Source organism: Homo sapiens, chromosome 18 (assembly GCF_000001405.40).
Source record: "Homo sapiens chromosome 18, GRCh38.p14 Primary Assembly".
NCBI lineage: Eukaryota > Metazoa > Chordata > Mammalia > Primates > Hominidae > Homo > Homo sapiens.
This window is the reverse complement of record NC_000018.10, coordinates 25,526,345-25,542,862: the sequence shown is the minus strand read 5'-3', so window position 1 is coordinate 25,542,862 and position 16,518 is coordinate 25,526,345. Positions and strand designations below refer to the sequence as shown.

The window sequence follows — 16,518 nt, the reverse complement described above, 5'->3', positions numbered from 1 at the left end:
TCTTCTGTTGTGTGGATGCATGCGTATCTGTTGTCAATTACCATTTAGTCTACCCCTACCCCTGCCCCATATAGGGGAATCTACTCTGTTGCTAACTTTAGGACACACTCTCAGTGTCTCACCCATATTTCTTCACCCTTACCACATCAGTGCACACCTGCTGACCTCCCACTGCCAGAATATGCTTTTTTATTTTTTATTTTTTGCTTGAGGGCTTTCCCCCAACACTTTGCTACTCCTATGAGAATCTACAGCCCTCATCTACCCATACACACCCCCAAAGCCCTCAACCTGTGACTGATGGGATTTGGTGTAGAAATACCCAAACTCCCAATCTGTTGTGTGGGGTAACTCTGATTAATTTCCAGTGACCTATAGTGGCAGCTGGCTTGATAACACACCTTTTTACTGACTCTCTGTCCTTTGTCCCCTCACTTTCTTACCCCCCCAAGTGTCCCTTTATCTTCCCAGCACACAGCTTTCTGGCTTCTCCTTGTCTGAGGGTCTGAGTTTGGAGGCACCCTAAGGCACCAATTAAGAGCAAGTGCTGACAAGCTGGTATTGGAGAATTTCATGAAAGATTTATTTTTTAAAAGGTTTGCTAGAGCAGAGGGGTTGAACATCTGGAAAGTTTAAGTTCTCCTTCTAAAGAAACAGTGGTGAAATGGAGTCGGAAGCAGAAACCTGATCTGCAAAGCTGGTCAAAGAGGCTGTACCTGCTTCTTCCCAAAGTTAGAGGGACTCAGAAATAGAAGCTGTGCTGGCCAGAAGCTGGAAGGAGAAAGGGAAAAGTCATTTGTGCTGGGCAGCATATCAGACTTTGTATGTGATGGCCCTGGGGCAATTTTGAAGCTTCCATTTGTCATTTGTTTCCCCTCTGGTGAGAGAGAAGCCACTGTTTTGTTTTGAAGCATTTTGTGCTACGCACAGGTGTGCCTAATTCCACATACGACTCTCTGTGTTCTCTGAGCCCAACTGCAAACACATCTTTCACAACGTCCCAGTGCATTTGTCACTCACCCCGAGTGTTTCCTACCACAGGAGTTTTGCTCAGGGAATGCTCTTCTAACTCTCCTAGCTCCATCTGCCCAAGGATTTGCTTCTGATTGCAAATATCTTTCTAGGAAATTTGCATTTCTTCCAAAAGTCTCGTAAAATGTTTTCAGTCTCCATGCTTTATTATCTGTCCCATGTGATGTTAGTGGTGTATAATGGGTTATGCATTGGAAATTCCTGGCAGCTTTGGGGATAGGATTATCATTTCTCTTCTAGCATCATAAGTTAAACACACACACACACACACACACACACACACACACACACACACACACACACAATTTCTATATAGCTCTTGGCAATCTCCTCTTCTCTCTGCATTTCCCCATGTGTTGAACCTAAGAAAAAGTCTTGACTTTCTCCATCCCCTCACTGCTCCCATATCCAGTCAGTCAACAAAGCTCCCCCATTTCACCTGGTAAACCTACCCATATCATTTTGCCTTTACTACCATTATCTCATCCCATTCCTCCCAACGAGACGATTGTCTCTACTCTTTTCCCTTTCCGTCATCTCTTCACAATGCAGCCAGACTGATCACACCAAAACACAAATATAATAATTTCAATTCCCCTACTAAGCCTTTTCAGTGGCTTCCCACTCCCCATGCTAAACTCTCACCTGGACTTCCGGGCCTTCCTACTCACCTCTTCAGAGTCATCTCTCACCATCCTCTGCCTGGCCTTCTCTTTCCTCACTCTTCACCCTTCTGTTTCTGTCTCCAACTTAACATCCCCTCTCCCTCGCCCACAGGCCTCTGCTACTGTCCAGGACACCTCTTTGTCCCTACTTTCTCACATTTATCTACCTCATACTTTCGGCTTCAACTTAAAAATATTTCCTTGAGGGCTTTTCCCTGATCTGTAAATGAGTTTAGGTTTCTACTATATGTTAGACTTCGCCTTCATAATGCTTATCACATTTTATTATTTTTATTTACTTATTTGTCTTCCCAGCCAAACCATAAACTCTGTAAGGACAACTGTGTCTTTCTTGCTTGTCATTGCATTCTCTGTGCCTAAAATAGTGTCTGGGTGTAGAGTTAACTAACTAAAAGGCTTTAAATATATTTCTCTATATTATGAAGAGAAAGGGCATCACAATATATTGTAATTGGACATTTCTGGTCTGGTCTCAGTCACCTCTCAGCTTTACTTAGTCAATATTGGTTATCTGTAAAGAAGCTGAACTAGATGATATCTATTTCAGACCTAGTATTATAAGTGCTTTTATATACCTGTATATATGTTATGTGGTCTAATATAACCTTGCTATGTTTTTAACCCTATGCCGATGAAGTATCTGAATAATTATTTCATTATGGTTTCTTATGTATATACCTTTTGTGTTATTGACTCTCATCTTTATTTGGCTTTTTCAATAGAAAGAGGCAAGATACTTTAACAGCAATTAATGTAATTTTTGACACATTCATGAGGATTGTACATCCTTTCTGCTCTTCTTCCTATAGTAGTTTCAGTGATTGAGGAACATTGCCCTAACATGACAATTGGTTCTGATGGTTAACCTATACATGTTTAGATAAATATATTATCCTCCTTCTCTTCCTTTTGATGCTTGGAAAATCACTGATATTCAGAGATTCCACTGGCTGGAGCTACAGACAGGTGGCAGGTAGGGCAAAGGAGGTGACATAAGTGCCCCAAACTACCTAAGAGTTATATATATGGGGAGTTAGGGCCGTCTGCCTTGTACAATGCCCAAATTGCGTGCTGTCCATTTTGGAATTCTCCTTGCCTTCTTTTGCCTTTCAAGGCTGTCCTTGATGACCATGTCTAACTCTATTCAAGGTGTTAGAGGATGAGAGCACACAGTAATTTGCCCCAGGCCCTAAGAGCACTAGTATCTCACCTTTATTGAATTCATTCTGTGCTAATATTGGATGGGATGGTGTTAATTTTCTATTTCTTTGTTTGAAGAGATCCTGGAAGAATCACTAAGGAGTATTTACAGGATAATAATGTCACAATCTGCAGTCCTTAATTTATTGATTCTCTGCAAGCCTTCTTTTACTTTAACTGTTGTCTTTTCTTTTCTGCTTCCATGAGAATTAAAAGTCATTTGGTTTGTTGTTGGCTTTAATATAGTTTATTATTAGCAAGGTTATTATTTGAAGTCCAAGGGATGGCTACGATCCTACCAGCAGTTTTGTACAAATAGTGGACACAATTCCTCTTCATTATTTCTAGTCAATTCTCAAATGCTATTTTCTTAGCACTGCCAGGGCATTCTTTTTTATGGATATCAGCGATCATTTAAAAAGCAATCCAAGGGTATTGAAGAAGAGATTTCATACTGTAAAAACCTGACAGCCTTTATCATGTAGAATAAAATAGCAACTATATTTTTTTTCTAATTCACTGCTGTTGGTGGAGATTTTAAAAGATGATTATAATAAGCACTCTTCTTAGTTGACCCATGAATTATTTGGCTCTGTTGCTGAAATGTCAAGCAGTCAACTAAGAAAAGGAGTACAATTTAACTAACAAACCTATTCCCAGAGCAGTGCAGATGGTGTTTCTGCTCCTTCCCTTGAGAGACCACTTTGTAATCCAATAGTTCTTACAGTCAGGAATTTTTTTCTTGACATTCAGCCTAAAATTTCCCTTACCTGAGATCATCTCATTATGAAAAAAAAAAAAAAAAACCACACACACACATAACAAAAAACAAAATCCACTCACAGCTGGTTTTAAAAATTATCCCCTACAGTGGTACAAACCCCTCTATTTCAGTGCATTTATTCTTAATAATGGATTTGTATAGATTTTTGTTGCTAGTGTCTGGGATCCCAATTCTTGTTACTACTATTACTATTATTTTGTTATTTTGTATTTTCAGTCTGTTTTTTCCTATGGGTAAGCAGAGTTCTAAATGCTCTTTTTTCTGCCTGGTTTTTTAATGCCTTGTCTATTCTATTAATCTCAACTAGTCTAAGGCTATTCTTTGAGTGGTTGTGACATGGCTAATACTGCCATCCTGGACCTTACAATGGATAGCAATCATCACCTCCCACAACTAGACTGCAAGGCCATATACGCCCACTGCCAGCATGGCAAAACCTCAGGGCCACCATATTCCAGGGTAATTATTTCAATAGGACTCTGTTTCTTCCCTTCTTTCTTCACTCCCACTCCCATACTCTCTCTCTCTCTTTCCTTCTTTACTTCTTTAAGGTGAGATAAGGTGTCTTTCTTCTCTTGTTGGGTTGATTGATACTCAATACTGTATTATCCATTTTCCATCATCATTTTTAAGTACAGAAAGCTCCCACTAAGTAGGAAGTGTGTTTTGAGCTGGTGTGTGTGTGTGTGTGTGTGTGTGTGTATACAGTCATGCGCCACACAACGAGAAACCGCATATATGACAGTGGCCCCATACGATGATAATGAAACTGGCCTAGTGACGTCATAGCCCCATCATAATGTCCTGTCACAATGCATTACTCACGTGTTTATAGTGATGCTAGTGTAAACATACCTACTACATTGCCAGTCAGTTGTATAAATTTATAGCACATACAGTTATGTACTGTACACACTACTTGATAATACATGACTATGTTGCTGGTTTACCTATTTACTATACAATACTTTTTATCATTATTTTGGAGTATACATCTTCTACTTATTAAAACAAAGTTAACTGTAAAGCAGCCTCGGGCAGCTTTTTCAGTAGATATTCCAGAAGAAGGCACTATTATTATAGGAGATGACAGCTCTTTGTGTGTTATTGTCCCTGAAAACCTTCCTGTGGGACAAGATGCAGAGATGGAAGACAGTGATACTGATGATCCCGATCCTATGTAGGCATAGGCTAATGTGTGTGTTTGTGTCTTTGTTTTTAACAAAAAAGTTTAAAAAGTAAACAAAAATAAAAATAAGAAACAGCTTATAGAATAAGGATATAAAAAAGTATTTTTGCATAGTTGTACAATGTGCTTATGTTTTAAGCTAAGTGTTATTATAAAAGAGTCAAAAAGTTTTGAAAAATAAAAAGTTTAAGAAGTAAAAAAGTCAAAGTAAGCTTTCTCTAATTTATTGTTAACGAAATAAAAGAGTTTTAAAAATAAACTTAGTGTAGTCTAAGTGTACAGTGTCTATAAAGTCTACAGTAGTGGACAGTAACATCCCGGGCCTTCACATTCACTCACCACCCACTCACTAACTTACCTGGAGAAACTTTTAGTCCTGCAAGCTCCATTCATAGTAAGTGCCCTATACAGGTATTTTTAAATTTTTTATACCATTTAAAATTTTCTGTTTATATACACAAATACCACTGTGTTACAGTTGCCTGCAGTATTCAGTACAATAACATGCTGTACAGGTTTGTAGCCTAAGAATAACAGGCCATACCCTGTAGTCTAGGTGTGTAGTGGGCTACACCATTCAGGTTTGTGTAAGTACACGCTATGGTGTTTGCACAATGACGAATCCATCTAAGGACATATTCTCAGTACATATCTTTGTGGTTAAGCAATGCATGATGGATTACATATTTAATTAATTAGTAGGCTTTATATTTTAGAGTAGTTTTGGGGTCACAGCAAAATTGAGTATGAAGTACAGAGTTCCCACTTAACCCCTCTGTGCCACACACACACAGCCTCCCCCACCATTAGTATCCCACATCAGTGCGGTACCTTTGTTACAACCAATGAATGAACATATACCCACCATTATCAACCAAAGTCCATAGTTGATATTAAAGTTCACTCTTGTGTGTTCTATGGGTTTCGACAAATGTATAATGATATGTATTCACCATGATATTGTGTCAAACAGAATACTTTGACTACCCTAAAAGTCTCCCTGATACAGATACTTTTGTGGTCTCAGGATCTTGCTCATAATCCCAGTTTTCCTGAGTTATATGCAAGAAAAAAATTAAAAGTTAATGGTAACAATATATGCTATCTAACAATCTTATTAACCATGTATTCTCTGGGGGTCAATCTAACATGCACAGAAGAACACCTTTAAGAGGGTTGTAGTCATGATAACTGTGTGCATTTAACTTCAATGCAAAAAGTTACAGAGTGGAGACCCTGAATTAACCCACAATATTTCCAAGTGTGGCTAATGTATCATTTTATAATTTGACTCTCCGAGGTCCAGATTAAGATCTATATGCTGCTAAAACTATGGTGTCCCCAGCTACTCAGGAGGCTGAGGCTGGAGGATTGCTCGAGCCCAGGAGGTAGAGGTTGCAGTGAGCTGAGATCACACCACTGCACTCCAGCCTGGGTGACAGAGAGAGAGACCCTTTCTCAAAACAAAATGAAACAAACAAACAAAAATATTATGGTGTTCATCCTCATATTTAATTCAAAATACAAACAACAATAAACCACAGAATAATAATAATAAGTAAGTCCGATCGGTTTTTTATTGATGATGACTACCTGAATGTTCCTTTGAAAATATCTGAAACAGCACACCCTTAAAAAACAAAACAAAACAAAATCTTTCTCTTACTCTACATTTGCTGATACCTGAAGCACACATTTGGCCAGCTTGCTGTATAATCTAGAACTATTTTTTTCTGTATTTCCTATTCTTGTAAATTGTTTGTGTTCTTACTTTTGCTAAATAAAAAACTTATTTTTTTAAATACAGTGTTTTTACTATTTTTGTGCAAATTTATTCTTTAAATTTGGATAGAATGAAGAGAAAAGGCAAAGGGGGAAAGGGAGGAGAATTGTAAATATCTGTGAAAATCCTCCATGTAGCTTGGACCAGATTGTCCATAGCTAACTGGTTGATGATCCTTGAATCTCTAAAAGCCTGAGTGTCCTTTCTTCACAGTTAGCACCAAGGGAATCACAGATATTTTAGATTTCAAGCCCCTTCTTCGGTTGCAGAAATTTTTCATGAAAAAATACACCCTGGACTCATTTCCTACTATGGAAATTGCAACCTGGAGAAAGTTTTGCAAACATTAAATGGCATGCCGAATCAAACAATTCATAACTAATTAAGGTACAACCAAAGCACCAAACTGTGGCTTTAAGAATGATGAGACTGAGCCCTCTTTAGTGGGTTTGTTGATTTGAACTGTGTTTGTGGTTAGCCAGACCAAATAGTCCCAGGTGGCTTGGGTCCTCACCTCCTCACCCACTCTTTTTCTCAGCAGTATTCTCATGCTGTCACTCCATCAACAAATATTTGCTGAGCCCCTGCTGTGCATAAGGCACTGTGCAATGAAGAAAAATGAATAAAAAGCATAAATTTTGCCACCAAAAAATGCTTATGGTCTAAATAAGGAAGATATTTTATATTCATTGGTTCATTCATCAGATACTATACAATGCTGTGCATTGTAAAGCATAACATAAGTGCAATATCAGATGTACTGAGAATTATCCTCAGGTTACAGTCTTGTCCGCTGACTCCAGTGTCAAGTGTTCAGGTCAGCAATAGCTGAAGCTCTTAAAGACCAGAGTCGTGACATTTGTTGTGTGAAAATAAGTAGATAGTAGATCTTCTCTTGTTATTCTGCAGGTAAAGAATGACTTTTCAGTCCACTTTCTTTCAGAAAAAAATCAGCCTTACATATTCTCCAGATGTCAGTTTGTTTCATTTTCTTTAGAATCTGCAACAGTGCTGATAGAAATATAATGCTAGCCACATATGCAATTTTTTTTTTTTTTTTTTTTTTTTTTTTTTTTTTTGAGACGGAGTCTCGTTCTGTCGCCCACGCTGGAGTGCAGTGGTGCCACCTGGGCTCATTGCAACCTCCGCCTCCCAGGTTCAAGAAATTCCCTGCCTCAGCCTCCCGAGTAGCTGGGATTACAGGTGCCCACCACAATGGCTAATTTTTGTATTTTTAGTAGAGGCGGGTTTCACCGTCTTGTCAGGCTTGTCTTGAACTCCTGACCTTGTGATCCACTTGCCTCGGCCTCCAAAATGCTGGGATTACAGGCATGAGCCAGCACATGTGGCCATATGCAATTTAAAATGTACTACTGGTCACAATAACAAACATAAAAAGAGGTAAAATTTATTTCAATAATATATCCTATTTAATTCAGGATATCTAAAATGTTATCCTTTCAATATGTAATCAATGTAAACACTTGTTAATGAGATATTTTATATTCTTTTTTTATACGAAGTCTTTGAAATGCAGTGTGTGTTTTAAAAATCCAGCACAGTGCCATTTGAATGCTTTCCAAGTACTCAATAGCTACATGTAGATAGTACAGATCTCTGGTGTTTAAACTCTCCACTTGAAATTACTGGAAACTTTCTTAAAGGTTTTCTGTGTAATTACATGGAGAACATTTTATGTCAATAAGCTGATATGAAAATTTCTTTGTAGGGAGAGCATTTTGGAAGAGCCTAATATGGAATAAAAGCAGCCTCCAGGATCTGGGGGTACCTGAGTGGTGCCCAGTTTTCAGGAAGGAAAGAGACTCTGTGTATTAAAAGGAGGCAAAAGGACTCTGCATATGGGAAGGAGAAAGAAAGAATCCAGGAGACAGGAGCAATAGGGCTGAAGACTCAATGGAAGATGGTCAGGGACATGGTGAACTTTTCCCTCCATTCTCTGAATAATCTACATCACTCTAACATGAATTTGTATCAGTGGATTTTCATTTTTGGTGGTGCCAAGAGTGGGGAGAAGCTTGCAAACAAGAACAAAGGGACAGCTCATATTTGGGTAACAGCAGTACACTTCATAACTAATTCCTATAGTAAAGATGGGATCTTGCATATCGAAGTGAGTTCGAAAAATTATGACACCTTAAAAACAACATTTACTTTCTTTACATTTTGTGCGTGGACTTTTTTCCTGCATCTTGTGTGGTATATAGCCTGAAATTTACAGTCAGTTTTCTAGAGACTATTCATATCCCCATCACTACTCAGCACAATGTAGTAGTTCATAGTGAAGGACTCGAATTCAGGCCAACTCATGTCTAGACACCAGTGCTGCCCCTACTTGCTGAGTGATTTGAGTGATGGTTTATTGTCTCTCATCTTTACGTTCACCCTTGGTACTGTTGCAGTCTTGCCAATGCACCACAATATAGCAGTCTCTTGTTGCCTGAGTTAGTACCCAGCGTCCTTTGTCTCAAGACCAAGAAAGTTAAGGAGAGCAGACACCATGTGTGAGGTTGGAGCAAAAGTGAAAGAAAAAAGTTCTCTGCTGCAGAGAGGGGCCCTGGAAGAGGGTTGCTCTTTTTACAGTTGAATGCAAAGGCTATTATAAAAAACCAATGAGGGCTGGGCATATGATTTGCATAAGTCACGAATTTCTGGTAGCTCCACCCCATGCTTCTAGTGCACATGTGGGCCCTTAGCTTGAGTTACTCCATATCGCTTTGTTCTCCTCAATGCGCATGTGTCAGGGGATGGAATTTTCCATTGTGGGCATGTCTGGGCAAGTAATCTGTGTAGTCTTTCTTATCTGTGCAGCTGTGGGCATGTCTTAGGCAAGCCCCTCATGCAAGTTCCCTTATCTGTGCCTGCAGTTCTTTTGTTTGAAAGAATTCAACCGAGGATCTACCCTAACTACCTGCCTGACCAGTTTCTTCCTTTTTCCTCTCTCAGTACAATGTGGGCGAAAGTGGTATCCACCTAATAGAGTACACGTGGCCTGTGTATCGTTAGAGCTCAACAGGTGGTGGTTATTGTCGTTATTAGACAGAGCTGTGCCTAAACCAGTGCTTCTCAATGTGCGTTCCCTGGATCCACACCATCAGCCTCACTCCAAACTTGTCAAAAATGCAAACTCTCCAGGCCATCCCACTGTCCAGACCAACTGAATCAGAAACTCTGGGAGTGGACCCAGAAATCCATGTTTTAGCAAGTCCTCCAGGTGATTCTGATGCAAGCTAAACCTTGGAAACCAATGGCCTATAACAATTCTGGATAAATAAGGAGCTACTCTATATATGGCTTCAAGCTCCCTTGTCAACTGGTTTAAATGTTTAGCAGCTACCATTGTCAGGAACTTCTTAGCTTCCAGTATATATGTGAGGTGCTTGGAGATCCTTAGAGGAAAATTGCAAGATGAAGACAAATGTTATTGCTATCTTAACTGATTTCTCCCAAGTTGAAGCCTGTTAGTAACATTTAGTTCTTCAAGAATCTACCTTAGTGGAGTCCCCTTAGAGCAATACTTAAATCAACTCTTTCCTCTTTTTAATGTTATTGTTTCCTCCTTCCTTCTGTTTATTACCTGAGTTTATTTCATTGGTATTGAATCTTGTCTGAAATTGAACTTCTATTTTGCTTTCTCATATGCCTATTCCAGCAACTACTCACTGTATGTTCTTCAGTAGCCTTGTCTCTAAGCCCTTGTGAGTAAAAACATTACGAATGGTTGGTGTCCCATATAAAAATGATAAACAATGTGTAATTGCGTATACAGCGATGTACACTTTTTATATCTACAAAAGTAAAATAAATTAAATCTCTCCCTCCATCTATCCACTCCAAATACCAAGCTCCTTTAGTTGCATGCCATGAAAGGACAACTATTTGTCCTTGAAATAATGTTTGGCAAGTACAAAAAAGCTACAGGAGGGAAGAGATCCTAAGGAATATTATTCTCAGTGTCTTTCCCTTTAACGGGTTTCTGTATTTTTCCTTCACAGTGCAAAACCATTGCCCTCTTCCTGTTGCTTCTCTTTACAGAGAACATTGACCTGCTGCAGAAAAAACAGCCCCTAAAACACTCTTGCTCATCATAGGAAGTAATGGAGCAAGACAGCCGCAGCATGAAGTAGGAAATCTTGAAATTTTTCCCCTGCCATCTCTCCCCCAATCCTCCATTTTGTCCCTCCTTTTCCCATACCCCGCATTCCTCCGGGTTATAACTTAAAAAAAAAATTTCCCTAGAAGAATCACTGTATGCTTAATTAGGATTTCATAAATGTTTCTTTACACCCCACACAAGCTGACTGCCAGAATTCCTTCTGTAGGACAATATAAAACAGGCTGGAGCCACAGGAATGGCAAGGTGCTACTGCTGAACGTCTATAAAGCCAGTTATGTGAACACAACATTTCTTATCCCAGGCTCTCTTTTCTCCCCCTGCCCCATCCCCACCTCAAATACCATGGGGATTTGAAGCAGTTCAGTTGCATTGTGATGATCTGTTCTTCAAATCATAAGACTGTTTCTAGGTTGATTTTTTTCTCAGCAACCACTATGGTTGTTCTGAAGCCTACTGTTTTCATTAATATTTACAGATATAGAGGTTTCCATTCTAATATCCAATTTGATGATATTATGATCTATTTTGTGCAGTATGGCATATACTATCTCGAGTTACTGTTCATGCCACCATCGTTAAAGGTAGTTTAGTCTCTCTGTCATAAGCCCTAGAATTCATGGGTTTATAACAGCCATAAAAACACACGTATATTCCATGATGACAGAGCCACACTCAGGGAGTGAATCTTTGTGGAAAATGAGAAGGACCTTGCTTACTGTTTCAAAAACCAAAAATGCTATTGTTTTCAGGGCATTTGACTTTTTTTTTTTTTTTTTTTTTTTTTTTGCCCATCAAAATGAAAAATGGTTTAATTTAATTTCTCAAAAGAAATATGAGGAGCTGTGTACTCATTACCAGCTCCTTTGCTAGATTTTTAAAGTCATTTCATTTTTAAAAAGAATTGTGGCCTATCTGGAATAAAATTATACTTGCATAAAAATTTATCACATTCTTCATGTGTGTTCATTTTGCCTGCGATTTAATCCATGCTGAATGGTGTTTGCAAATCTGTAACAGCAGACACGCTTGTGTCTGCTAAGCTAACGCTTTTATGTAGTTTCTTTTCCTGATCCCTGATAATTGTTTTGGTCATAGAAAGTTAATGTTTATTTTTTAATCTGTGTTAATTTTTGAGTTAATTAGAATAAGGAATTTATTGTCTGCACATGCAAATGTAGCCCCCAAAGTTCATCATTCAAAAGACTTTGAGACTGCAAATTTAACTATCAAATGACAAAATAAAGGACAATTAAGGATCATGGAGATTCTAAGTTTTCTTGGTCACAACGCCCATCCTCAATCTTTCATGTGCCTCTTTCATTATTCTCTCATTTATATACCCTGATCTCTCCTGTCCCCAACCACCAATCAATACTCATCTATCTAATTACTTCGCCCTTTGAGGAGTGTATGGGTATTGTTTCTATGCTTGTATATTTCTACGTGGGTAAGAAGAATATTCATTGAAAATGAATATTGAGGGACAGAAATGGTCTTTGGTCACTACTTCCTGCCTATGCTTTTTGAAAAGAGTTGAGTGGGTTACAAAAGGTAAGTAACTGCCGATCTAACTTTTTAATAGATGGAACTTGGCAAATCCTTTACAATTGCATTGTATATATAGATTATACATACATATACATATATCATTAGAATAATGGAATCCTTGTTGTGGCTTTTAAAAATAGCTGTATAACAGCAGACAAATCACATAATAAATGCGAGCCTGGCTGGGCATAGTAGCTCATGCCTGTAATCCCAGCATTTTGGGAGGCCAAGGTGGGCAGATCACATGAGGTCAGGGGTTCGAGGCCAAGCCTGGCCAACATGGTGAAACCCCATTTCTACCAAAAAATACAAAAATTAGCCAGGCATGGTGGCACATGCCAGTAGTCCCAGCTACTCAGGGGGCTGAGGTAGGAGAATTACTTGAACTCAGGAAGTGGAGGTTGCAGTGAGCTGAGACTGCGCCTCTGCACTCCATCCTGGGTGACAGAGTGAGACCTTGGCTAAAAAAAAAAAAAAAAAAAAAAAAAACGGAAAAAGTGAGCCTGTTTCCTTATCTGTAATAGGTGATAATATTATAAACCAAGCTTTCCTTTCATGATTCCTGCAAAACTTATGGCTTAAATTTTGTCCTTGCTTTGGACTCACAAATCTACACTTTTAGTTTTGAATTCATTCCTCAGTTCCAAAATACTTGTATTTACATATGCTTATGCATTAATATTTTTTATATATCTATACCTCTATATATTAGCTTTATTGAGGTATAAATCACATACCAAAAAATCATCAATTTGGAGTGTAATATTTGATGACTTTTAACATATATGCAAATATGTGGTGGTGGTGTGCAAACATTACCACAATTAAATTCACTGTATTTTATGGATAAGTAATACTCCTTTATATGAATATAACACAATTAGTTTATTGATTGCCCGGTTAATGGACATTTGAATTGCTTCCAGTTTTTTGTTATTATAGATGAAGTTGTTATGAACTTTGTATACATGTCTGGACATATTTTCTCTCTCAAGTAAATAAATACCGGAGATCTTCAACTTATGATGGGGTTACACCCCAGTAAACCCATCTTAAGTTGAAAATACGTAAAAAAATGCAGAGTATCAGTTGTTAACTCTTTGATCATGTGGCTGACTGGGAGCTGTGGTTCACTGCTGCTGCCCAAAATTACTAGGGAGTATCACACCAAACATTGCTAGCCTGGGAAAAGATCAAAATTCAAACTTCAAAGTATGATTTCTGCTAAATGCATATTGCTTTTACACCATCGTAAAGTTGAAAAATCCTAAAAAGAACCATTATAAGTCAGTGATAGTCTGTTTGCCATTTTGCACGCCCATAAGCATTGTGTGAGAGCTCCAGTTTCTCTAAACCCCAATCAGTACTTGACGTTGTGGAACTTTTCAATTTTCAGTATCCTAGTAGGAGTGTGTGCTAATATCTCTTTGTGGTTGAAATTTGCATTTCACTGACTATTGACTAATTATGTTAAACATTTTTTCATGTGCTTGTTTACCAGGATATATCTTTTTTATCAAAGTGCTAATCATATCTTTTGCCTATTTTTTTCTTTTAGGTTGTTTTCTTATTAGTATTGAGTTATAAGTGTGCTTTATGTATTTTTGGGTCTTCAAGGAGTTTCATATCATTGTTGAATGTATTGGCATAATGTTGTCCATAATGTTCCCTGATAATGCTTTCAAATCCCTAATTATGCAGTGATTTCTGATATTGATCATTTTTATCTTTCTTTTTCTTATCAATCTAGAGGTGTGTCAATTTCATTATCTCCTAAAATGAACAGCGTTTGGTTTTATTGATTTTCTCTATTGTTCTGTTTTCTATTTCATCGACTTCTGCTCTTATCCTTTTTATTACCTTCATTATACTACAGAGATGATTAATTTGTACTTCTTTTTCTCACTTTTTATGGGTAAAACTCAGATCTTTTATTTATGGTGTTTCTCCTTTTCTGAGAATTTATTGCTATAAATTCTGCCCGAAGATAGTCATAGCCATATTCTATAAATTTCATGCCAAGTTTTAATTTTTGTTCAGGTCAAAATATTTCTATTTTTTTAAAATTTCTTCTTTGATCAATGAGTTATTTACAAATGTTTTATTTAGCTTAAAAATGTTTGGAAAATATTCAGATATATTTATTTAATTGATATCTAACTGAATTTGCTTGTTCAGAGAACATATTTTGTATGTTTCCAATGTTTTTAAAATTAATTGAGATATTGAGACCATAATATGGTTTGTTGTGTGCACTTGAAAAGAAAGGTTTATATTCTGCTGTTATTAGTGGAGAAATGTTCTCTAAATATACATCAGGTCAAGTTATTCGATAGTGTTTTTAGTTCATCTATATTCTTACTGATTTCTGTGTACTTATTCTACCAATTACTGCAAGAAGACTACTCTTCAACAATAAATTATGGATTTCTCTATTTCTCTTTTCAGTTCATCAATTTTTGTTTCATGTATTTTGAAGCTGTGTTACTAAATAAATGAACATTTAATTTTGCTATTTCTACTTGATGAATTGACACCTTTATTATTATGTTTTGTTCGTCTTTATGTCTCATAATATGTGTAGTTCTAAAATTTATGTGTAGGTGCTTTAGGTAGGATGGTAAATCTGATTCTCATTATTCCATATTGCTCTGAAACAGAAGTTTCTCATTTTCATTTTTGTAACATTTTTGGGGGGAGACTAGAAGTCTGAGTTGATAGTTTTTTATTCTTCTTCTTTCAGTTCTGTCAAGATGTTACTGCTCTTTTCCTAACTTGAATGGTTTCTGAGAAAAATCTACTATCATTCTTTCATTCCACTCTGTATCTTTCTCTGCCTACTTTTAAGAATTTTTTTTTTTTTACCATTGGCTTTCAGCAATTGGATTATGTCTAGGTGGGTATAATTTTTCTTATGTTTTCTCTACCTTTCAGTGGTTTCATTGAGCTTCTTAGGTTTGTGACTTTCTACTTTTCACCACATTTAGAAAATCTTGTTCACGCAGCTGCTATATTTGAATAGTTGTCAGCTTTGGTTATCAGGACAGCTGATGTCTTTTCACTTTTCTACCTCTTGTACCTAGAATGGAGAGGTACATAATAGGTGCTTAGTAAGTGAAAACTGTGAAAACTGGCACAAGTAAATATGGCAGACTAGGCAAAATACAAGATCTGTAGTTGGATACTCTGGGACTGAATCTTCAATTCATTCTTTTATGGCTTCACATTCTTGAGGCTCACATTTTTAATATGGAAATGTTTATAGTGAGGTGATACTTGTATTAAATAAATCTTAATTTTGCAACCCCCAAAAGTAACAACTGACTCCAGCAGGGATTATCCCTGCATGTGAGAAATCATTTTGTGATGGTACATTTTTACCATAGAATACCACTCAGCAACAAAAAAGTGGTAAACTATTGATGGGCACAACAACTTGGATGGATCTCAAGAGAATTATGCTGAGTGAAAAAACTAATCCCAGAGGTTTACATACTGTGTAATTCCATTTATATAACATTCCTGAAATGACAAAATTACAGAGATGGAGAACGTTTTGGTCACCATGGGTTAGGGATGGGTGGTGGTGGTGGTGGCTGTGGTTACAAAGGGGTAGCAGGAGGGAGTCCTCTGGTAATAAAACAGTTTTAGATTTTGATTGTGGTGAAAGATACATGAAGCTACACACTTGATAAAATTGCATAGAACAACACACAAACATACATACAAATAAGTGCTTATAAAACTAATGAAATCTGAATAAAGTGTGTGGATGGTACCAATGTAAAGTTCCTGGTTTTGCAATAAGAAGTTCTGAAATGGAGGCAATAATTAATAGCCTACCAACCAAAAAAAGTCCAGGACAGATGGATTCACACCCGAATTCTACCAGAGGTACAAAGAGGAGCTGGTACCATTCCTTCTGAAACTATTCCAATCAATAGAACAAGAGAGAATCCTCCCTAATTCATTTTATGAGGTCAACATCATCCTGATACCAAAGCCTGGCAGAGACACAACAAAAAAACAGAATTTTAGACCAATATCCCTGATGAACATCGATGCAAAAATCCTCAATAAAATACTGGCAAACCGAATCCAGCAGCACATCATAAACCTTATACACCACGATCAAGTTGGCTTCATCCCTGGGATGCAAGT

The 16,518-nt window shown here is 37.4% G+C and overlaps 1 annotated feature.

Moving 5' to 3' along the window:
• Positions 9,217-10,416: an enhancer, noted in NCBI's record as "MED14-independent group 3 enhancer chr18:23112411-23113610 (GRCh37/hg19 assembly coordinates)". NCBI's record gives its function as "activates an origin of replication core promoter dependent on BRD2, BRD4, P300/CBP and CDK7 cofactors, and independent of MED14, by STARR-seq in HCT116 cells {active_cell/tissue: HCT116}" and the evidence as "EXISTENCE:reporter gene assay evidence [ECO:0000049][PMID:35650434]".